Here is a 25,849-nt window from a genome sequence, read left to right as displayed (position 1 = left end):
GGTGGCTGGAGCTAAAGGCATAGTCAAGGTTAATGCTCCTTTTTCTTTATCCCAAATCAGATAGCGTTTAGGCTCTTTTTCATCAAATATAAAAATCCAGCCCAGTTCATGGCTCGTTTGGCAGCAACCCTGAAACGCTTTACAGCCCTGGACCCTAAAAGGTCTAAAGGCCGTCTTATTCTCAAAATACATTTTATTACCCAATCTGCTCCCGACATTAAATAAAACTCCAAAAATTAAATTCCGGCCCTCAAACCCCACAACAGGATTTAATTAACCTCACCTTCAAGGTGTACAATAACAGAAAAAAGTTGCAATTCCTTGCCTCCACTGTGAGACAAACCCCAGCCACATCTCCAGCACACAAGAACTTCCAAATGCCTGAACCGCAGCAGCCAGGCGTTCCTCCAGAACCTCCTCCCCCAGGAGCTTGCTACACGTGCCGGAAATCTGGCCACTGGGCCAAGAAATGCCCTCAGCCCGGGATTCCTCCTAAGCCACGTCCCATCTGTGTAGGACCCCACTGAAAATCGGACTGTTCAACTCACCTGGCAGCCACTCCCAGAGCCCCTGGAACTCTGGCCCAAGGCTCTCTGACTGACTCCTTCCCAGATCTTCTCGGCTTAGCGGCTGAAGACTGACACTGCCCGATCGCCTCAGAAGCCCCCTAGACCATCATGGACACTGAGCTTCGGGTAACTCTCACAGTGGAAGTTAAGCCCATCCCCTTCTTAATCAATACAGAGGCTACCCGCTCCACATTACCTTCTTTTCAAGGGCCCGTTTCCCTTGCCTCCATAACTGTTGTGGGTATTGACGGCCAGGCTTCTAAACCTCTTAAAACTCCCCAGCTGTGGTGCCAACTTAGACAATACTCTTTTAAGCACTCCTTTTTAGTTATCCCCACCTGCCCAGTTCCCTTATTAGGCTGAGACACCTTAACTAAATTATCTGCTTCCCTGACTATTCCTGGACTACAGCTATATCTCATTGCCGCCCTTCTTCCCAATCCAAAGCCTCCTTTGCGTCCTCCTCTTGTATCCCCCCACCTTAACCCACAAGTATAAGATACCTCTACTCCCTCCTTGGTGACCGATCATGCACCCCTTACCATCTCATTAAAACCTAATCACCCTTACCCCACTCGACACCAATATCCCATCCCGCAGCACGCTTTAAAAAGATTAAAGCCTGTTATCACTCGCCTGCTACAGCATGGCCTTTTAAAGCCTATAAACTCTCCTTACAATTCCCCCATTTTACCTGTCCTAAAACCAGACAAGCCTTACAAGTTAGTTCAGGATCTGCACCTTATCAACCAAATTGTTTTGCCTATCCACCCCATGGTGCCAAACCCATATACTCTCCTATCCTCAATACCTGCCTCTACAACCCATTATTCTGTTCTGGATCTCAAACATGCTTTCTTTACTATTCCTTTGCACCCTTAATCCCAGCCTCTCTTCGCTTTCACTTGGACTGACCCTGACACCCATCAAGCTCAGCAAATTACCTAGGCTGTACTGCTGCAAAGCTTCACAGACAGCCCCCATTACTTCACTCAAGCCCAAATTTCTTCCTCATCTGTTACCTATCTCGGCATAATTCTCATAAAAACACACGTGCTCTCCCTGCCAATTGTGTCCGACTGATCTCTCAAACCCAAGCACCTTCTACAAAACAACAACTCCTTTCCCTCCTAGGCATGGTTAGCGCGGTCAGAATTCTTACACAAGAGCCAGGACCACTCCCTGTAGCCTTTCTGTCCAAACAACTTGACCTTACTGTTTTAGCCTAGCCCTCATGTCTGCGTGCAGCGGCTGCCACTGCTTTAATACTTTTAGAGGCTCTCAAAATCACAAACTATGCTCAACTCACTCTCTACAGTTCTCATAACTTCCAAAATCTATTTTCTTCCTCATACCTGACGCATATACTTTCTGCTTCCCGGCTCCTTCAGCTGTACTCACTCTTTGTTGAGTCTCCCACAATTACCGTTGTCCCTGGCCCAGACTTCAATCCGGCCTCCCACATTATTCCCGATACCACACCTGACCCCCATGACTGTATCTCTCTGATCCACCTGACATTCACCCCATTTCCCCAAATTTCCTTCTTTCCTGTTCCTCACCCTGATCACGCTTGATTTATTGATGGCAGTTCCACCAGGCCTAATCGCCACACACCAGCAAAGGCAGGTTATGCTATAGTACAAGCCACTAGCCCGCCTCTTAGAACCTCTCATTTCCTTTCCATCGTGGAAATCTATCCTCAAGGAAATAACTTCTCAGTGTTCCATCTGCTATTCTACTACTCCTCAGGGATTATTCAGGCCCCCTCCCTTCCCTACACATCAAGCTCCAGGATTTGCCCCACCCAGGACTGGCAAATTAGCTTTACTCAACATGCCGAGTCAGATAACTAAAATACCTCTTAGTCTAGGCAGATACTTTCACTGGATAGGTAGAGGCCTTTCCTACAGGGTCTGAGAAGGCCACCACAGTCATTTCTTCCCTTCTGTCAGACATAATTCCTCAGTTTAGCCTTCCCACCTCAATACAGTCTGATAAGAGATGAGCCTTTATTAGTCAAATCAGCCAAGCAGTTTTTCAGGCTCTTAGTATTCAGTGAAACCTTTATATCCCTTACGGTCCTCCGTCTTCAAGAAAAGTAGAATGGACTAAAGGTCTTTTAAAAACACACCTCACCAAGCTCAGCCACCAACTTAAAAAGGACTGGACAATACTTTTACCACTTTCCCTTCTCAGAATTCAGGCCTGTTCTCGGAATGCTACAGGGTACAGCCCATTTGAGCTCCTGTATACACGCTCCTTTTTATTAGGCCCCAGTCTCATTCCAGACACCAGACCAACTTAGACTGTGCCCAAAAAAACTTGTCATCCCTACTATCTTCTGTCTAGTCATACTCATATTCACCGTTCTCAACTACTCATACATGCCCTGCTCTTGTTTACACTGCCGGTTTACACTGTTTTTCCAAGCCATCACAGCTGATATCTCCTGGTGCTATCCCCAAACTGCCACTCTTAACTCTTGAAGTAAATAAATAATCTTTGCTGGCAGGACTATGCTGAATCTCCTTAGGCACTCTCTAATCAGATATCCTGTGTCATCCCAATTCTTAGACCTTTTATACCTGTTTTTCTCCTTCTGTTATTCCATTTAGTTTCTCAATTCATCCAAAACCGTATCCAGGCCATCACCAATCATTCTATACGACAAATGCTTCTTCTAACAACCCCACAATATCACCCCTTACCACAAGACCTCCCTTCAGCTTAATCTCTCCCACTCTAGGTTCCCACGCCGCCCCTAATCCCGCTTGAAGCAGCCCTGAGAAACATCGCCCATTCTCTCTCCATACCACCCCCCAAAAATTTTCACCGCCCCGACACTTCAACACTATTTTGTTTTATTTTTCTTATTAATATAAGAAGGCAGGAATGTCAGGCCTCTGAGCCCAAGCCAAGCCATCGCATCCCCTGTGACTTGCACATATATGCCCAGATGGCCTGAAGTAACTGAAGAATCAAAAAAGAAGTGAATATGCCCTGCCCCACCTTAACTGATGACATTCCACCACAAAAGAAGTGTAAATGGCCGGTCCTTGCCTTAAGTGATGACATTACCTTGTGAAAGTCCTTTTCCTGGCTCATCCTGGCTCAAAAAGCACCCCCACTGAGCACCTTGCGACCCCCACTCCTGCCCACCAGAGAACAACCCCCCTTTGACTGTAATTTTCCTTTACCTACCCAAATCCTATAAAACGGCCCCACCCCTATCTCCCTTTGCTGACTCTCTTTTCGGACTCAGCCCACCTGCACCCAGGTGAAATAAACAGCCATGTTGCTCACACAAAGCCTGTTTGGTGGTCTGTTCACATGGACACGCATGAAATGGGTAATATATTCCTGAAAATGTCCAATGCTCTAACATCAAGCAATGCTACATGAGAAACTGAAAGAACATTCGAATTTAATTAAGGGAACTAATTTCTATTGAGTTGTATAGCCTGTAAATGTGTTTTACAGGATCTCTGATCCTTCTAAGTATCTATATTTCCTATAGAAAAAGTTAACTTCAAAAAGTTACATAATGACTATCATTGAGCCTGCTGATAATTGTAATTAGTAGCTATATCCCATCCTAACAGTGTGCCTACTGATTTAGGTCAATCAGCTTATTTAAAACATTGACATTGTTTTCAAATGCATTTTCATTTCTGATTAGGGAGGTAAGTCCAGCAAGTTCTAGTGCTAACTTTTCCACGTGAAACTAGCACAATGAAAAATACAAAATCTCACTAAGAATGATTTACAATGGACAAATGTGCTTGTTCACATAACTTTTCTGTAATTTTCAACTAGCGTAAATGGCAATGAATACATTTAAACATTTTTAACTTTTCACATGGCTCTAAAGAGTTCCTCTTAAGTGGCCAGGGATTTCTTCCAAAGAGAAAAAAATGAAAACTAAAACCAATCAACCAAACAAACCAAAATAAACAACAAAATATCAGTTGCCTTGGGAAGGAAGCAAGGGCCACTGAAATCCCAAATGGAATCAGATGTGACATTTGCAAATGATATCTCATCAATGGGAATACGAGAACCACCTCTTCAAAATGGTGGAGTTATTTCTGAGTGGCAATAATTAAGTAAATTATGATCATGGTTTATCAATGTGGCAGTTGCAGTAAGTTTCCTAAAACTTCTTCTCTTGTTATTTCTGCCTTTCTTCTTTGTATAGAAGACTAGAGCTGTACTGTCAAATATGGTAGCCACATCTGTATCCACATAGGTTTACTTAAATTCAAATTTACAAATCAAATTCCAAATGAGTTCCTTGGGTACACTAGCCATATTTCAAGTGTTCAATTGTGAAACGTAGTTAGCAGCTGCCACATGAGCAGTACAGATGGAAAATAATTCCATCATTGCAGAAAGTCCTATTGGACAACCCTAAACTACAAAGGTCTATTAAATCTCAGAGGGAAGATTGCTAATTGCCTTACCAGTAGGTGGGACATTGGCAACAAAACACCCAAGCAAAGAACTACGCAAAATCTATCTTGGCAGTTATATGCTGGATTTACCCGCCCCCCACAACCCCTGCCAACAAAAAAGAATTCCACATTTCAAACACCATTATGGTTATAAAATTCAGTTAATAAGAGAAGAGCAACAGTTTCAGGGATATTAATGATAAATAAGTGCTAGATTAGATTTTAATGACAGACTCTTAATGGCAAATATGCATCAAGATTTCTTTTCTTAAGAATCTAGTTTCTGTTTCCCCAGTATAGGTTGTAAGGATGTATATATACATGGCAAAGGTTTGCCTCCTTATTATCCATTTTCAGTAACTCTTAGTACAAAATTTTGTATGTCAACAATGTTTCCACTTAATACTATTTTTTCTTTCCTTAACAAAAAAGTCGTGAACTTAGCAGCTTCTTTGGGTAATTAGCCAAAGCAGGTGAAGACAAAAAATATGGTTGATAGGAAGAATGAAATTTTAAGAAGTCTTGTTTTTTCTCACTTAGAAAACTTTCAACTAAATGATGACAAGCACTGATTATCACACAGCCTTTTCTTTACTGCATCTGATTTATAACAATTTCCCAAAATCACAGAATTTTCAAATAAGACAGAAAGGCCAAAGTTTAGACTTGCCTTCCCATTTGGCTTAGAAAAGAGTGGCAAATCATAATTAGCACCATTACTTCCTGGCATATTAGAAGGAGACTTCTGAAGTTTTACACATATGTACATGTGTCTCCTAATACAGACTGAATAACAGCAACATATTTTGCCTATCAAAAGTTGGTTATAGTGCTCAAAAAAGGGATAATTTCACATAAATACGTAAAAGTCCCAGAATCAAAATCATATGAAAGTGGATCTACACAGCACTTCTTGAAGGAAAGACTAAAAAATCTAGCCTTTAACGTATGTTGATAGATAAATTTATCTGCTACCTTAGTATCTATCAGGGAAGCAACCATAATGTAGCTGGAAGAACGCTTGCCTTGGAAGTTCAGTCTGAGGTTCACAATCTCCCATCCTTCCAGCTGTCATTCCCTGACTCCCACACTTCTTCCTTCAACTTCATCATGGTCACCACTTTGAACTTCCTTTTTTATTCCAGTGTATCAGACCATGCTTTTAGCCTTTTCTTCCTTTTTCATCCAGCCTAAATCTCCCAGAGCATAACTGCAATCACTGTTTTTTCAAGTTACCTTGTCTTTTTGCTGAACCAATTCCACAAAACCACAAAACCAAATGATTCCTCCAATTCTATATCAAAAGACTACTAAAGACAAGAGTGAAAAGAAAATCACATCATTATGGGTTTGGATCTCACTGTTCTGCTGGGTCCTCCACTCTTAGCAAGCCCATGTGTCTGTGTTCTCATTCTTTTGTTGCTTTGCACATGTAGTTTTCTCCATCTGAACAGACTGTCCTGACTTCTTCCTAGCAAAGACTTCTACCTTTTAGTCATCTTCTAGTGGATACCTGAGGCATAATCACCTCTGCAAAGCCCTTCTCAATCTCTACTCATCACTCTGAGACAGAATTAAAAGCTCCGGTAGCACCCTAATATGGCTCTTATGACATCGTATTGTAAATATTTATTTGTGTTATTGCCTAATTTCCTTTATTACTTTATAGGCTTTTTGAGGAGATGGATGTTGTTTTCTCCTCATTTATATCATCAGCAAGAAGCACAAAGCCTGACAATTTTTTTTGTGAATAAATAAATGTACAAACAAATGAACAAATAAGACACCAGCTCTAACCTTTTCTAGCAAGGGTTTGTAATGTTAAACACTTCATGTGTTTAACTATTTGTTTTGTTATTATGGAAAAAATATATTCCTACTACATAGTATGAATGAGGTAGTGCCTAGGGGCATAGCATAAATAAAGATCTCATTGTCATAATCCTTATCTACCAGTTTTGCATTCTCATTAACCAAATGTTTCTGACATATCACACCTTTCTTCAGATGCAGTAAATAAATATTCCTCCTTTGTAATATTAGCTCTAATTCAATTTTTATTTATAATAGTCAAATATCATAGCCCCTTCATCATATATTAAAAATAACAAGTTATTTATGTTATTATATACAACAAATATCTAATCTTTAGTAATATAATTTATTTCTTAGTTGGACAATTAATTTATAAAATAGCAACACAAAAAATATTAAACAATGTTTAGGGGAAATTTGAACCAAAATTTTTTAGTACACATTCGGACATAAATAGCTTCCATACTTGCAAAAGTTCTTACGCCTAAACACTCTGCTTCTCATTGTCTTCCCACAGACATGCACTGCATGCAATATTGGGTACTAAGTATTATGTTACACACTGAAGACACAAAACTGAATAAAATCTAGCTCTGACTTAATGGAGTATACTGTCTAGTCATCTTATATTTTGTCTGCATGCTTGTTTGGGTAGCATATTTACAGCTCCCTCTCCTCCAGAACTCTCCTTAGCAGCTACTCTACCACAGTTTAAGTCAAAGGATTCACCAAACTGTTGCCATATACCTGGGCCATTCTATAAAGCTCTAGAGAAAGGAGGAGTAAGAGTGGTAGGGAATTAAAATTGAGCTGTGATTACACACAATGCTGTCATTTCCATCTTCTTTACTCACAAGATAGGGACTTGCATCCACTTTGTACCTTTTCTATTTTTCTTAATTAAGTTTTACTTCAATATTTTTTGGGGTACAAGTGGATCTCTGTTACATGGATGAATTATACAGTGGTAAATTCTGAGATTTTAGTGCACCCATCACCTGAGTGTTTTTATCCCTAGCCTCTCTCCTACCCTCTCCCTTCTGAGTCTTCAAAGTCAATCTTATCCTTCTGTATGTCTTTGTGTACTCACAGCTTAGCTTGCACTTATAAGCGAGAACATAGGGTTTTTGGTAAGTACTCTCATTTATCTGTTAATACCCAAGAACCCTTCATTTATTTTCTTTTTTTTTTCCCACTTTCCTTTATCTACCTGTTCTTTAGAGCTGTTAATAGCATATCTAGAAACTTCTGTATACAATGCAGAATAATGGAAATAACTAGCTCAGATATGTACTCTGCCACTTGCTGGCTTTGTAACCTAGGAAAAGTCGGTAATCCTTCAGAGATTCTATTTCCTTGGGGCAATAATGTGATCTTGTGATATAAAAAACATATATCTGGTCTTTGTCCTGATTCCTTGCAGAGTTCCTAAAACCCTTGGAATCTCCTGAGTGATGAGTGTCTTTTGTATGCTAATAAATGACTGGGGGATGGCGGGTTCTTAGATAGCATTAGGATGGGTGCTGGTCACCAGAAAGACGAAGGGTTACAGGGTTGGAAATTTCATCCCCATCCCCTCACCTCTGGGTAGAATACTGAAGCTAGAGATTGAGTTAATAACCAAACAGCCAATGATTTAATCCTGCCTACATAATGGAACTTCTATACAAACACTAAACTATGGGCTTCAGAGAGCTTCTGGGCTGTTGAACACATTGAGGTGCTGGGAGGGTGTAATGGCTGAAGAGGGCATGAAAGTTCCATGCTGCCCACCTCCCATATACTTTGTACAATGCACGACTTCCATCTGACTGTACCTGAGTCATATCTACAAGGAAGGAAAAAACTATTTTTTCCCTCTACTCTAATACCACTCAACAGAATATTTCTGACACCAGATGTATGGGGGTATTTCCTTACACACCAAGCAATTCTACAGCAGACAACGGTTGTGTATCTTCTAATTTAATTCAGTTCTGACACTATCTACCTGGAGGTAGCATCAGGTCCCACAGGTTAAGGGCTCATTCCCACAAGGAGTGAAGTGCCTCCATTTCAGATACCAATCATAAGTCATAGTTTGTCGCCTATACTTCTGACCAACCAGCTGTAAATCAAGAGTTCCCACAACCGCCTTGTCAGGTTCAATCAATTTGTAGAGTAGCTCTCGGAGCGCAGGAAAACACTTTACTTAAGTGCCAGGAGAGTAGCACAACCCAACTCCATGGGGACAGAAGCTCCTGCCATCCAGATCCTTCCAAGACCCTGTCTTATGTATCTCTTCCTCTGGCTGCTTCTCTGTGTCCTTTATGATATCCTCATTAATAAACTGGCAAACATCCTATGTCAGAAATGTTGTATTGAGTGGTATGTGAGTAGAGGGAAAAACAGCTTTTTTTCCCCCTCTTGCAGTATCCATTATTAAAAAAAAAAAGTAAATAAAATGCCTCTTGAGTTCTGTCAGCCATTCTAGCAAATTATTGAACCTGAATAAGTGGTTATGGGAACCCTTGATTTATACCTGCTTGATCAGAAGTATAGGAAGCCCAGGGCTTGTGTTTGGCATTTAAAGTAGGTGCAGTTTTGTGGGATTAACCCCTTAACCTGTGGGGTCTCATGCTAAATGAGTTGATTTCTGAATTGAATTAAATTGATGGACACCCAGTTGGGGCCTAGAGAGTTGGAGATTTGGTTGTTGGTGTGGAAAAAAAAATTTACACATTTAGAAGCGCTGTAAATTGAAATTGACCATAGTAAATAACAGCCGTCTGTGAGAATTAGATGAAGTTAAGTATGATATGAACTCCCAAAATTTTAAAAAAGTTAGTTGGTAGCTTTCTTTAAATAATTCAGTGGGTTGATATGTTTGCTAACTGCCTATTAGACCTCTCTTCCCAGCAGTCAATGCATTGAGAAAGGAGTATCGTTTTCCCTGCTACTGCATTCTATCATTTAACCTCTCCAACACCTAGACATCTTTTCCACTAGCTCACTTAAAGCCATCAGACTTGGCTGAATACACATATTCACATGGTCTATTTTTGCTGAAAATTAAAATGTCCACAGTGTATCACTTTTTTATAATAATTTTCTTACATACTTGAATTACTTATTAAGTCATTCATATCCTTTTTTTCTTTTTTGATTTTTTTTTTTTTTTTTTGAGATGGAGTCTCACTCTGTGGCCCAGGCTGGAGTGCAGTGGCGTGATCTCGGCTCACTACAACCTCCGCCTCCCGGGTGTAAGTGATTCTCCCGCCTCATCCTCCCGAGTAGCTGGGATTACAGGCATGTGCCACCACGCCTGGCTAATTTTTGTATTTTTAGTAGAGATGGAGTTTCACCATGTTGTCAGGCTGGTCTCGAACTCCTGACTTCAAATAATCTGCCCATCTTGCCTCCCAAAGTGCTGAGATAACAGGCATGAGCCACCACACCCAGTCCTTTTTTGTCTTTTATAATCTAAATAAGTCTAATTCTTTAGTCTTTCCTTATAAGTTCTATTTAAAGACACTTTAATATTTCTTTTCTTTAAGTTTTAGAGAGATCACTCTTTTCATCTAAAATTAAAGTTCTCTAACATCTTTATAGTACACAGATTTCTTAGATGAAAGGCAAAAGTAACTGAAACATGATATTCATTCATATATTTTATTGCATGAAACTGGAATGTTTTATAACAGAAACTTGCCTCTAACCATGGAGACAGTAGATTACATTTGGCAGAGAAATTACGTGAATACCAAATTTTTCCTACAAGAAAATCTAATTTAGTTATCAATTGAAATTTTGCATTTATTCCTTTTCATAGACCTCATTTTGGTTCAGAAAGAATTTAAAGGACTTACTCTGTAACACAGTCCTACAAAATTCCAGATCTTTAAGCTTTCAAATATGAATGTTTGTACAGTCAGATGTTCTAACTTAACATTTTAAGTTTGACTGTTTTATGACACTCTTTAATTTAGAAATAACTCCATGTGGTAGATGCTTGTTAAGTACCATATAGATTTTTAAAATATGTAGAATAACTTCTGACATGTTATAGATATGAGATAAACTTCCCAACAAGTGGAATAGTTATAAGTAATCCATTCTGAAGACCAAGCGAGGTCATCTCAACACTAATGGTCTTAAAGTAAATTCCATGAACTTACCATTTTTAAATACATCTCATACTCTTTAAAAAGTATTCAGAGGGCCAGGTGCAGTGGCTCACACCTGTAATCTCAGCACTTTGGGAGGCCGAGGCGGGCAGATCATGAGGTCAGGAGCTCGAGATGAGCCTGGCCAGCATGGTGAAACACCGTCTCTACTAAAAATACACACCTTGGGAGGCCAAGGCAGGCAGATCCCCTGAGGTCGGGAGTTTGAGACTAGCCTGACCAACATGGAGAAACCCCGTCTCTACTAAAAATACAAAATTAGCTGACGTGGTGGCACATGCCTGTAATCCCAGCTACTGAGGAGGCTGAGGCAGGAGAATAGCTTGAACCTGGGAGGTAGAGGCTGGGGTGAGCCAAGATCGTGCCATTGCACTCCAGCCTGGGCAACAAGACCGAGACTTTGTCTCAAAAAAAAAAAAGTGTTCAGAGAAGAAAAATATGTAGCTTGATTAAAGAAGCTTCTAGATGACTAGCAACTGTAGGAAATAAATCACATTAGCCAGCCTTCTCAAAAGTAAACTTCTCTGTCAATAGAATTTTGTTAAAGTTAAGTTCTGCCCCAATCATGATTTGGGAGTGTGCTATAATATTCTTTGAAGGCAAAGGCCAAGTTTGCACAAAGATGGAAGAAAACAGCCAAAGAGAAAGAAGGTCTATTTTTTTCTACATATGAAAACAGCAACTCAGAGAGACTAGCTCATTAGTAACCAGAATTAAAACATATCCTGCACAAGCAAGTTAAAATAGGTCCATCTCTAGAGGTGAAGCAGTTCATAGATTATTCATGGGAGAAGAAAACTTAGCCATGACAGTTTTTTTTTAATAAGTGAAATGGAACATGACAAAGAAAATCAAAGTACTAATACATGAAAGCTAAAGTTAGTAAGAGATGCCACCACAGCATGCTGAGTATCATCTTATTTTATGTTTACATAAAGTGTTAGTTTCTCTTACTGTTAAGATAATATATTTAAATAAGCTTTAAGTCATTTTAAAAAGCAATAATTTTGTGGCATAAGCTGATACCATACCTCAGTTATTTGTACTAAAAAAGCACTTTTACCACTCTACTGAAAAGAACTTACACCACTCAACATGCAGTGGTGAAACTGTTGTCATATTTTTATACCTAACAGAACTAGAGCTGCCTACAAATAAACCTTGGGAAGAATTATTTTCTCTAAAATAAACTTTTTAGAGCTCAACTTTTTAATATTTAAGGGAATATATCACTAGATCCTTACTTTATAATCTATACTTCCATTTATATAAAGCAGATAGGAGATGTTTCTTCTTATAAATTGACCTAAAATCTATTTTTATCTTAAGTGCTGTTGCTTTTCTTTTTGAGAGGCATTATTTGTTAATTTGTGTTCTTAGTTATTTCTTATTTTTAAACTGTCTTTTATTTTTTCAATTATTTTAAATATGAAAGCGATAAGGCACATTCTCAATATCTAGAAAACAAAGAGAAGAAATTACTCATGCATAATTCAACCCTCTAATAAAATTAACATGAGCATTTAAGAAAATTTAAATCCTATTTACACAAAGTTTAAAAATAATCCATTTAAGTAATTTTTCAAGTACAGAAAAGTATGAAATGATTTATGAAAAATGCAAATTAACTGCCTGAATTTGATCTTAAAAAAGAAAAACAAAAAAACTACAAGTCAAAAAGTCACTTATAGTTCTGCTGCCCCCAAACAATCATGTACACGTTTTGTATACATCAATCTAGACATCTTTTTTCTCCTAGCATAGCAGTGTTTGCTTCCATTTGTTTGTTTGCATAGCGGGACTTCTGAGTCTTGTGGTAAACCCTGCTTGAGGGGATTCCTTTCCTGGGGAATTTCCTGTGTCTAATTGTACCATTATCCTCGTGGTAAGGAATTCTCATAATGAAATAAGCATATCAATTCATTCACATTCTCACATGCTCATCAGTGTGGCTGATTCAAACAGCCATAGTTTCTGAGGTTAGCTTTGCTTCCCAAAGCTTTTTTGATGAGTTGGTAATGAACCTGATAATAGCCACTGAGGGAAGTTCACCAGTTCTTCATACCATGGCCTCTCCAATTTTGATTTTTTTGTTTTTCCTTTTTAAGATCTACTTCAAGCAGTTAAGTTGCATTTTTAATAAATCATTTTAAGAAAGCTATATGTTTGGTATTTTTCCTGAACCCTTGAATATTTGAGAATGTCCTTTTGATGGCTTTTCATAGGAAAGACAACTTAACTAGATTAAATTCTTGGATTCCTTTTTTTTCAAAACTACTTGCATCTTTCTTATTATTGTGTCAGTTGGAATTCTCAATTGCAAACAACAGGAACCAGGCTGGCTGACTTAAGCAGAAAAGGAATTCATTGGGAAAATTTTTTTTGAGGTACAGAATCAAAAGGAAACTGGATATCAGGTAGAAATGGTATGGCTAGACCGCTGAGAACACAGCCAACATCAGTCTGTTAAAGTGATGGTGAAGGGCCACTGGGACATTTGCTTCTGCTGTTGGACTCTAAATTCAATGATGCTGCCAAAAATTGGAATTTTTTAAGTGTTCGTGGTCTTGGCAAGAGTCCAAGTCCCACTGGGAGCATATGAGTGGCTGGCTGTGGGTCATGAGATCTAGGGAATAAGGAAAATGAATTATCTGACCTCACTTGTTTTCTGCTTCCCACCAAGATAATAAATAATTCCTCCACAAATTAGGGAAAGTATTCAGACCCTAAAAGCAAAACTATAACAAATATCCACTGCAATTATCATCTAACTTTTAGCATAAGAAGTCAGACACAAATCTGATTTTATCTTTCTGTTTACAATGGGTTTAGTCATATGCTTATGGGGAATGAGCAGATTCTTCCTACTAGTAATATCAAATTCAGCCAGGATGTGTCTAGATGAAGTTCTCCCTTCATTTACCTTGGTTAATCTATTCACCCAAGACAACTTTTTCTCCCTAGAACAGTTTTCTTCAATTATATCTTGGACTATTTCTTTAGTTTCAATCATCTTTGCTTCCTAAACTCCTATAAATTTTAGATTAAACTTCTGTTTCTAATTTCCACTTAAAAAATCATATTATTCAACTGTTAGTTATTTTCAATATTCTGAAAGACTTCTCAAATTTATGCACCACATCCATGATTTTTTATATAGTATAAATTCTCCTCTTTAGTGCCTCTATTACATATTTGCACTAAAATATTGCATTTTTAAAATCAAATCTTTTCTGACTTCTTCCATTCCACTTATTATTATTACTATTATTATTATTATTATTATTATTATTATTATTATTATTTTGAGATGGAGTCTCGCTCTGTTGCCCAGGCTGGAGTGCAGAGGCGTGATCTTGACTCACAGCAACCTCCGCCTCCCAAGTTCAAGCAATTCTCCTGCCTCAGCCTCCCAAGTAGCTGGGACTACAGATGTGTGCCACCAAGCCTGGCTAATTTTTGGTATTTTTAGTTGAGATAGGGTTTCACCATGTTAGCCAGGATGGTCTCAATCTCCTGACCTCATGATCTGCCCATCTCGGCCTCCCAAAGTGCTGGGATTACAGGCGTGAGCCACTGCGTCCAGCCCATTCCACTTATTATTGTCCTTTTATCTTAGCCAGTTCTTGCCTTATGTTATGGTTTGAATGTGTCTCCCTGAATTTGTGTGCTGAAAACTTAATCTCCAATGCAACAGCGTTGGGAGATGAGGCCTCATGGGAGATGTTTAGGTCTCTGTCCACATGAAAACATTAATACCCTTATAAAAAAAGCTCACAGGAGTAGATTTGCTCTCTTGCTCTCTTTGTCTTTCTGCCTTCCACCATGTGCTGATGCAAGTGGAAGGCCTTCACTAGATGCCCCAGTCTGGATCTTGGACTTCCCAGCCTTCAGCACTGTGAGCCAATAAATTTCTGTTCATTATAAATTACCCAGTCTCAGGTATTCTGTTATGGTGGCAAAAAACAGACTAAGACACCATATGAATACACACTGTCATCTAAAAGAATTGAAGTCTTTTTGAAAGACAATGGGCAGACCAAATATTTTTTCCCCTAGTCTCTAGAATAAGCTGCTTTCAAAGCATCCATTTCTTCTAAGTATTCCCTGACCGCCTTGTTTTGTTCCTCAGTATTTCTACTTAAGTCCTATGCTTCATTTTCCCTCCACTGTTTTATTTATTTTGATAGTTTTCTGTTTATTCATCTTCAAATGAGGTGACACTCATCCAAAACTAGTGTCTTTTAACAAAGTGTTTGGATGGACTTGACTTCATTCTCACTCTGCTTCTGTTCTGGAGGAGCTGAACCCCCTTTTCAGCTCTGCAGCTGAGTGAGAGTCTGATGTACATGGCTCCTTGCCCAGTCCTCATCTATGGAGCTCTTTTGGCTGAGATGTGATGCTCCCCTCTGCTACCATCTGTTTCTAAAATTTCTAACTGACATTCATATCGATGTTTCTCTTGCTTTCAAATATTTTCATTGGTGGGAAACATACATCCCAGGTTACATATATCCAAGGTTACAATTTTCTATCTGGAACCAGGTTGCCTGTTCATTTTCTGTCCTGCTAGTTTCCTAATTTGGATAGTTAGAGCTATTAATGAGTATGAGAAAATAGCATTCTGGCTTCTTCAAAGAGTAACATTTTCTTTTTGGAGCAAACTACGAAACAGGGACAAAGATATTTCCTACTTTCATGTGAACAGAAAAAGGATGGAGCACTGTCAAGATTTTCATTCCAGTGATCTTAAAATATAGATAAATGTTCTATATACATATTTACATAATAAAAAATATTTATATGTAATACATATAAAATTCCTCCTAGGATTTTTGCTGCTGTTAATTGCTGCTAGTTTTTACTATTCTTTAGCTTTGTCTTTTTGAAGTCTTTATATATAATTTATTGTCAGGTAAAGAAGGGCTGCAATATTAGACATATACTATCTTAAAGAAGAAAATTCTTGCTAATTATATTTTGTAAAATTACTACAAAAAACTTGTAAAATCTAGATTTTTTAACTCTTAAAAGTATTCCAGATAGAACTAGTTCCCAAACACACCAGTGGAAGCATAACAACATAAATGAGGCTGTGAATTAAGCTACTGATTCCCCTTTAAACAAGAAAACTATTCCTAAAGTATGTATTCAATCCAAGTATTATTTTGTCTTTTAAGTTTTCTAAAACTATTTGTTATTTCTGCTTTTAAAAAGATTTAGCTGCATTAAAGTGAAATTAATTTGTAATGTAAGCTTTAATCTCAACAGTTTATCATTTCTCATATTATCATAAACTTTACCTCTAGGTATGGCAGTTTACTTCATCAAATACCCATAGCTTTTCTATAGTACATTCAACCATAAAATAATACATTTAGATAGCCACAATTAGCAAAAGTCTGTTATTGTTACTAAGCAGTATTATCAATTCTAGACTATATTTTTGTTAGATTTTTGAAATATCCCTTATCATCAAAATTGGCCCTTCAAACTCAAGGCCAACTAGACAGGCCATAAAATAACACCTCTAGACAGATTTACACCACTAGTACAGATTACCCAGTAATAATGTACTGTCATATTTTTTTATATTTATGTTTTGTGTATTATATAACATCTTACCTCAGCACTTTTTAAAATTGTTGGATAATAATGGCTTTATTTTACCAGCAAGAAGAGAGTCAAGAGCTTCCCTTAAAGATACACATTTCTAGATCATATGGTTCATTCTGCAGGATGGATGTATATGCTGTTTTCAGAAAATGTCCATGGAACTACTTGAGAAGTCTGTTAAAATGCAGATTCCCAGGCCACACACTAGACCTATGGAAACAGAATCTCTTGATGTGGGGTTAGAAATCTGCATTTTTAAAAAAGTCCTTGGGTAATTCTTTACTCACAGAAGTTTGAGAATCACTGCTCTAATGCACTAAATAGAAAAATTATGGACTATAACGTTAACGTGGAGAAACAAGGAAGGCTCTGATTTTATTTTACAATCTCATTCTAAGGGACTTCAAATAAAGAACCAAGTTCAAATTTCAGAAGTCCATTAGCACTTATTTTATCTGAAACAATCAGTTTGGTAAAATAGTTCCAGAGTTCTAGTAACCCAAGTTGCTAGAACTTGGATCGACTCATATTATCTAGGCAGTTTGATGTGGAAATGTGGTGAATCATTTACAAAAGCAACATTTCCCTAGACGACTCCCCAGATCAACTAACAAAAGACACACATTCTGATTGCAGCATATATTTCAACTACCAAGGAGAAAACTATAATCAGATGTCAACCATTTTGTTAATTCTCATGGTAGTTTCGCTTTTCTGTCATTAATAACATTCTAAGATTTAGCCTTGAAACTGAATGGTCATTTTCTTAGGTAACCTTGCTAAAAAGTTACCTGAGAATGTTACTTCAGGCATGTTATAAAGTTGTTTCTAATACCACAATCAAATAGCTAGACCCAATTCTGATGCAATCAGTCTCCCACATCAAGGAACTGAAATAAAATATTCTGCTGAGGCAGCAACTGAACCTTTCAGCTTAACAGTGAAAAACCGCCAACAGTAATTTGTTCATTACATTAAGATTCCCTGCTGGTCTTTAGACTTTTAGAAGCCAAATATGTTTCCACTGAAAGAGAAACTTTGGAGTGGTTTCTGATCGTCATTTCATGGTCCTGAACAATATATATTTAGTAGCCATTAACCACATTGCTCATAAACTTGTTTTCAACTATTGGAACATTCAGTAGTCAATGTATACATAATTCAAAATTGGCTCACAATTAGTTTATTTTCAACAGGCACTCGCGTGTGTATGTGTGTGTGTAAGACAAATAAGGTTAAAAACCACTCTGCTTATGTTTCAATAAAATTTCACCAAGATGAGAAGCATCTTAAACCTTTATTTTAAAGGCATTAGTGAGAGATTACTAAACAATTGAACAATAAAAGGCAAGTTAGTTATGTATGCAAAAATACAGTACTTAAATTGGGAAGAAATTGTTTTTTGACCAATTATTAATAAAATTAGTATTTTTTAAAAAAATCCACAAGATGGATTAAAGAATTTAAAACTATTTATCCAGAGACAATTTTTATATTGTTTTAAAATAAACATCTTCAACTACTATGATTAGCTGTGATTGTATTAAAGTTACCTATTTGTTAGTGACATTTTAGTTTCCAGTTTTGTTGGCTGTAGACCACTGAGTATGTTAAGCATTCTATCACTTAAAACTGTAATTATTTGGGTAGATACTCTCACTCTCAGATAGCCAACTTGGGAGGACAAAAATTTTAAAAATAGAGGACAGAAAGATGTCATAATTCAGAAGTTACCAAAGCACTGTACCTTGCACTGTGAGGAAAACTGAAGCGGCTGATGATCCACCTTCACTAGAAACCATACAATGATACTCTCCAGCATCGTTGAATTTCACACTCTTTAGCTCCAATGACAGATTAGCCAAGGTCCTAATTCTCGCTGGCTCTGCCAGTCTGACATCTCTGTCATTCCTCTGCCAGGTTAGATTGTAATCCACCGCACTGATGATGAGACATGTTAAAACTGCTCTCTCTCCAGGAGTGACTGTAACATTGTTAGGCACTTGGATGACCGGAGGGGGCTCTGTGTGAAATCAAAAAATTCAAATCAAGAGACCTAAAAGCCATTTTGCTCACTTACAGATGTGGTTTAAAAACTGAATAAGTATGTACTGAACATCCAGTAGGAAAGATGCAGTGCAACAGAACTTACTCAATTAATGCATATGTCTATGAGCCCCCTCAAAATTACCACTTAAAGGATGCTTTAGAAAGTAGTACACATTTACATACCAAAGGATACTCAAGCCAAATCTATAAATTATAGACATGAGAGTCAAAGAGCCATGGCAAAAGAGTATAACTTGACTGACTGAGGATTGTGAAAGGAGGCAAAGTTTTTATAGATGAAAGCAGCATTTGCAAACTTTTAGATTTTAAAAATATGTATTTAGCGTTGTAAAGAAAATAGCACACAAAGGATAATAGACATGAAAATGACAGTATCATCTTTAAGGGGGGTTACAGTCTCATTAATGAAACACAGGACAACAGAAGAGTAAGATAAATGTTCAAGCAGAAATGGGGAACAGTTTGATTTATGAAGTTCAGGTGAACAGTAGGAACAGACCATTAATAAAATTGTACACATAGAGCCATATACACAAAAGGCATTGAGTGACACATGTGTTTCAGATATGGTCAAAGGCCAATTACTAATTAAATATTTAACCAACATTTCTGCAGAGAATCACATGTTTCTCTAGTTAGTTGGTTCTTTTTATTATTTTACTTTAAATTCTGGGGTACCTGTGCAGAACGTACAGGTTTGTCACATAGGTATACGTGTGCCATGGTGGTTTGCTGCACCTATTGACCTGTCCTCTAAGTTCCCTCCCCTCATCCCCCACCCCACAACAGGCCCTGGTGTGTGATGTTCCCCTCCCTATGTCCACGTGTTCTCATCGTTCAACTCCCACTTATGAGTGAAAACATGAGGTGTTTGGTTTTCTGTTCCTGTGTTAGCTCTAGTTAGTTTTGAGAGTGAATCTAAATTCTCTCTCCAAAGCTCTCTCTGCTCAAATGCTTTAAAATGATCTCCTGTAGCAATACATTATAAATAATGCAACAATAAAAACTGCAGTGATCTATGCTAGCTAGAAATTCATGTGTCTGTTTTAGTTTAATATGAAAGTGTGTCAAATATTCAAGATCAAACTTTATCCCTGTGCTATTTAAAACTATATATGAGTGCAGATTAATATCATAAGCCTAGAATGAAGACTGGAAACAAATATACCAAAACCACAGTGGTTATCTCTGAGTGATATATGTGTTTTCCATATTTTGTTATATTTATCATTGTTTTCCAAGCTATTTCTAAGTAGTATATGCTATTTTAAGTTATAAAAATAATGTTTAATTATTTTGTTATGTTTTTTAAAAATATCTTATGAAAATAGCTAGTGAATCCATTGGAAAGAATACAGGTAAAGGAAGCTTTGATTGGAGTCTGGCTAGGGTTCCCAGGTAAAATGCAGGACACTTTGTTAAATCTGAATTTAAGATACAAATACAATAATATTTTAGTACAAATATGCCTCGTGCAATATTTGGGTCACACATATGTGATATTCAAATTTAACTGGGCATCCTGTATTTTTAATTTGCTAAATTTGGTAATAATAGGCCACCTAGTTCTACCCCTAATTAGTTGTGTGACTTTAGATAAGCCAATTTAGTGAAATTAATAGTTCAGTTTTTCTATCTGAAAAATAAGATGATTACTTTATCATAAAGACTCCTTCTAGCTCTCAGATCCCTATGAAACAAACATGCTGAAGGTTAGACCCCCCTTTCCAGTGCTGCCCACATCCAATTACTTCTTAATGAAGGAAGAAAGACCCAGCTCTCCTGGCTCAATTCAGGGCCCTCCCTGTAGGCCCTTACTGCAGCTGTAGCACAGTTCCTCTTCTTCCACTTCCTTCATCCCCTTACAGGTGCTTTTCCCTAGAGAACTCTCCAAAAACCCTCTTGCATGCAAACTCCACCCCAGATTCTAGTTCCTCTTCAGATATAAATTCAAATAAGTACATGCCAACTTTCTACTAACATACATGAGCGGATGAGATTTGAAATAATGGCATACGACACCACCACTGCCTAAATACCTCAAGACAATAAATATTATACACATTGAAATATTTAGGCATATGTGAATAAATTTGGTAGGAATAGGGGAGTGATGCGGGAGAATTACAGCAGTTTGTGAAGGAGGCCAAGATTACAGATTATCAGAAATAACCTGTTCTAGGAGTACAAAGAGCAGCCATTCCTGAGTGAAAGCAGACTAGGATTAGGGTAGCAGAAAGGAAACCTCAATAATGAGGGAGGAAAGATGACAAGCATAGGCTTGGGACATTAAGTAAAGACCATGAGACTGAGAATCAGGAGGCCAGGAACCTACATCTTATTACCTATCTACCCATTTGATCATAAATGGGTCACTTGCTTTCTCTGGGTTCTGTTTCTTTAGCTATCAAATGATAAGGTGGTGTAAGATTATTTCCAAATCTTAGCCTTCTAAAAGAATATTCTGTAATTATAATTTAAGGTTTCCTGTCACTGACATGCCCTTGACAAGTTTTCGCTCTTCAGAATTTTACCTAAACTCAGAATTTTAGTACTCTGTGTGTGTGTGTGTGTGTGTGTGTGTGTGTGTGTGTATTGGGTGAAAGTCATTGTGTTAGTAAAACAATTCAGTACAGATAATTAATATAACTTAGTATCAAACTAAACTACCAAATGTAATGAAAAGAATAAGTTTTTCATGCTTCTGCAGTTTTATTCATTAGATTCTATGTGTTTATATTCAATAAAAGAGAAGAACATTGCTTTCTACACCTGTTGTGCATTTAAAACAATCAATAACCCAATAACCAACATTTCAATTGAACCAAAAGTCCTCAAACACGTCAACTAGAAAAAAAGTGCTGGCAAAAATTGAGGCGACATATTGGTAGAACTTGGGCTTTTCTTTAAACTGCTCTTGGGTGTTCCTTGACTTTATAAAATAAAATAATATCCATAATGGCATGAGAATATTAGTATTAAATAATGCTTTATTTCCTAATATCCCTTTAAAAATATAAGATCGAATTATCCTGTGAATTTGCACCTGATTCCAGTGTGCTGATAAGTAGTTACAGTGGGGTGGCTGAGCTGGGACCTCAGCCTAGGCTAAGGGAAATTCAGAAGTGAGTGGAGCTTAAAGGCTGGTGTACTAGGCAACAGCTAACCCAGAAAAAAAATGTCCTCTCTTTCAAGTTCAAAGGGGCACTCACTTGTGACTTCTGCTGTTATAGTCATTGCCCTTGCCATCACCATTTCCACCGTATTCTTTTTAAATTGACTGAGTGGAAAACAATTCCTGAAAATCAGCTTGGGCACAGTACAATTTCCTAGTTATTCCATTGCCTGGCTGGCACAGATCACAGATGGCTACTAGAAGGGCATGTGTAGAATATACATATGGAAGTTCCTGACACCGTCAAGCCCAATTCATGACAGTCAGTTCACAAGTTCTTCCTGGCACTTCCCAGTTATTTATGCAAGATGTCTGAATCAACTCACTCAAACCTCTTTCCTTGTTGTCCTTCTCCTAAAAAGTATTGCTGGGAAAAATACTCAAGTGTTCAAGTGTTTGTTTTCCCAGGAGCTGAGGAATGTTGACATGACTCCAATGCTTTTCATAATTACTGGACATGAAAAAATGAATAGTTTGTGATGTATGTCAACTTGCTAAATTGTTTCAGAAGACAAACTTTATTTTTCTAGCAGTAAGAGAATACAAATAGTTTAACTGCAAGAACATGCTTGTCTGACTTGCATGCTTCTGCTTTAAGGTTCACCTTAAACTTACTGATAGTGAACAACAAATCCTAGACTTCTAAATATATGATATACCTATAATTATAAGCTTCCTTTGTCTTAAATTGTCTGAAGAAAATGCACATCAGCACTAAAAGCAATATAGACATTGTAATAAATTCAACAGCAGCAATATATAGGTCAGAATAGGTTACAGTTAAACACATAGCAACACTAGTCCACAAGGCAGGTAGAAAATCATTCAGCCAAAACAAAATTTCCAATTATAGATAAATGCTGAGTAAATGGCTTAATCCTGATCATTGATTATAAATGGTAGTCTTTTTTCCCCTGAAAATTATGTGAGGAAAAATTATTTTTTTCACTTTAATGTATATAAAATAATATGAACTATATCTCCCATCTATTCATAGGAAACATACTATCTGAATGTAAAATAATTAGCATTACTTCTGCCCGTCTTAGTGCGAATATTGTAGCCACTGAGGTCCTGTGTTCTTAGAATGTAATCATTTTCATTATTATCTTCCATTTAAATGTCAGAATCTATTCATAAAAGTGCTCTGCTCATTATGAATATGGAAGAGGAAAAGGGAACATTTAACCTTGTATTGATTAGAATAGATCCTTCACTTAAACTTTATTTTCTCACGGGAAAATGCTATATGATCATTTCAAAAACTATTCATTAATCCCTGACAATAATGATAATAACAATAATAATAATCACTAATGTCTATTAAGTGCTTCTCTGTGGCAGACTCTCTTCTAAGTGCCTTGCATATATTACATATCATTTAATCCTCACAGTTTCCCCATGAGACGGTTCTTGTTATTATGCTTTCTTTTACAGTTAGGGAAACCAAGGCATTGAGTTCTTAAACAATTAGCCCAAGGAGAGTCGTGTATCTGATACATGGTGAGCACAGGATTTGAGTTCTCAATTCAGTGGAGAGATAGACAATAATAAAATAATCGCAAAGACAATTGTATAAACACAAACTGGTTAACAAACATCCCATTTCCATAGCTGCATTAATACTTGGGCAACTGCAAAGAAATTAGTGGTAATTACCTGATACGTCAAAAAATGTCTGTGCCCGTCCAGTACCTGCACTGCTGACAGCAATGCATTCATAGAAACCTTCGTCAGACAAAGTGACCTTTGCAATATCTAAGTTCACACTGGCAGATTCTCTGGAGGTAAGAAAATGGAAAACTTTTAGTTACTATAAAATAAGACCAAGTTGAAAGCAATGATTAACTATTTCTTTTGAAGGTTCATTCAAAAGAACAATGTAAAGAAAATAAATTGATAAAACTGCAGAGTTCTTTTTAACTTAAAATGACACACCATTTATATTTTACTAGAAAATGAGGCTTTTCTACTCTGAGCAAAAGACACAACATAAACAATAATTATAGAGATTGAAAATTTATTTAGAGAAATATTTTCTAGCTATGTCAAAATATAAGATAACAGAGCTGGCAAAGAAATATTCATTAATCCTCTCTGCTTTTATTTTTTCCAGTTTTTGGTCATGTCAGTAGGAATCTTAGACAAAGCAATTTAATTAGGCAATATACAAATTTGAAGGTAGGAAATCTACTTTTTGATTCTAAGAAGATAAATTCTCCTTAACTTTCTTTTAGATAAGCTCCACTTAGATAAGATATAAGGCCATATATCATTCAACCTACATACACAATGAGAAATGAAAACAAATGATCAGTTTTATAGTTAAACTCTATCATGTAGGTTAAAAAAATCCCTCTACTATATTATGTATTCATTCATTTAATAAATATTTATTATTTGCCCTCTAACACTGTTCAAATTATTTCTCATTTTCCGGAAGTATCTTAGTAATAGATATTTAATCTGTTTCAAAGAGCTCGATGATCTACAAAAATAGGCATTATCCTGTTTTAAAGTGTGGCTGAAATGTCAAAAATGTTTTCATAATTTTTTCTCCCGTATCATCTATAGCTACTTATAACCTTAAAAAAATCAAGATATAGATAAGGCAAAAAGCCCACTGCAGTCAAGAGACTTACCACTGAATTCTGAAAGTGGTATAAAATATAATACCTTATGGTGATATCTCTAGATCGCTCCCCATCCAAACACACCATACTTATCATCAAAAAACCATGAAGAACTTACTGAGCTCTTAACTCGTATTTGGTACAACTAGGGTTTGTAAGAAAAAGTTAAAACAGGTTTCTGTGCCTTAGGAAAGTGAGAAACAAAGCAAGGTCATTGATCCATATGTTTTAGTAGCTGAGAAAATTCACTTTAGTTAAACATTGCTTCCTTTCAATTCTGTAGGCACTACATGCCAGTGGTTCTTCTTGTCACTTTCAGAATAAAAGCAGAATACTGCTTGACTCCATACCACACTGATCATGTAAGCTGTATCTTCGATGCTTAACAGGAGTATACTAAGCACAAATTTGTAAATGTCATCATCTAGGAGGTACTGGTAAGTTTCAGCAAGGTAGGGGTTTGGAATACATACATCTTTGGTGTTTTCTTCAGTGCCTACTTAAAAGCTGAGCATACATTAGAATTCATCAAAAACAGATTGATGGAAATTTTAGAACAGAAACTGACGATTCTTTGGGTTCTGAATCCCTTTTTAAAAATGAGAAAGTTGAGATACAGAAAGGACAAGTAATTTGTCCAAAGACATACAACCAGTTTACTAAATGCTTGAAGAATGTTCTTTACAGTTATACTTGTTCCTTTCTTGATGATGAAATGTTACATGAAAATAATTCCCTTTTTCATGGAGCCTTCTCAGTTGACATTAAGCACTATGTGGACATAATTAAAAAAGTTTTGAAGGGTAGACTTTGGAATACGGAAAAGAACACGTCAAATAAAAATGCACCCTGCTGCTAATGCAAACGGATTCTCTCTTACATCCCCTGGTGACCAAAGTGACTGACATAAACAAACATTAAGTCACATGTTTCATGTTATTAGGAAATCTAGGGCAGGGACATGAGAGTGAATCAGGATTAGGGTATCAGTCTATCATCACTCATGCCTAATTTTGTCTCTAACTTGTCACATCCAAAGAGCTTAATACATGTCAGCAAAGCATGTCATATCTCTGGGCCACAGAGCTGGAAAAATGAGAAAAAGAATTCTCATGGCTTACCTCCCAGGAACTGTGTGGAATTAATGAATTAATGTTTCTAAAGAATCTCATGTGTCTTTGAAAAATGTTACTGTTTAAACATAAAACAGAATTATTTGATTTCACCAGCTAGTTATGTAGCTTCATCATTTTATATCCCGGTCAATTACGTTGCTGGTTATTAAATACACAGCTAAATAAATCATTAAGATATACTATGTAAGGGGCAGGAAATAATACAGTTTAAT

General features: G+C 37.0%; 1 protein-coding gene across 4 annotated transcripts in view, besides 2 other annotated features; it reads right to left on the bottom strand.

The window, feature by feature from the left end:
• HMCN1 (hemicentin 1) overlaps positions 1-25,849 on the bottom strand; it is a 456,559-nt gene that overhangs the window by 238,755 nt on the left and 191,955 nt on the right. For all 4 annotated transcript variants that reach the window (NM_031935.3, XM_011510038.4, XM_024450118.2 and 1 more), the window contains exons 10-11: positions 23,528-23,649; positions 18,371-18,646 (exon numbers count right to left, since the gene is read on the bottom strand). In NM_031935.3, the coding sequence (NP_114141.2) occupies positions 18,371-18,646; positions 23,528-23,649 (398 nt within the window). The remainder of the gene's footprint in view (positions 1-18,370; positions 18,647-23,527; positions 23,650-25,849) is intronic.
• Positions 2,987-3,902: an enhancer, noted in NCBI's record as "OCT4-NANOG hESC enhancer chr1:185917425-185918340 (GRCh37/hg19 assembly coordinates)". NCBI's record gives its function as "activates a minimal SCP1, AML or CMV promoter by ChIP-STARR-seq in primed H9 embryonic stem cells {active_cell/tissue: H9 hESC(primed)}" and the evidence as "EXISTENCE:reporter gene assay evidence [ECO:0000049][PMID:30033119]".
• Positions 11,851-12,051: a silencer, noted in NCBI's record as "peak512 fragment used in MPRA reporter construct". NCBI's record gives its function as "represses an SCP1 promoter by STARR-seq MPRAs in K562 erythroleukemia cells {active_cell/tissue: K562}" and the evidence as "EXISTENCE:reporter gene assay evidence [ECO:0000049][PMID:32103011]".

Source organism: Homo sapiens, chromosome 1 (genome assembly GCF_000001405.40).
Source record: "Homo sapiens chromosome 1, GRCh38.p14 Primary Assembly".
NCBI lineage: Eukaryota > Metazoa > Chordata > Mammalia > Primates > Hominidae > Homo > Homo sapiens.
This window is presented reverse-complemented; position numbering and strand designations above follow the sequence as displayed.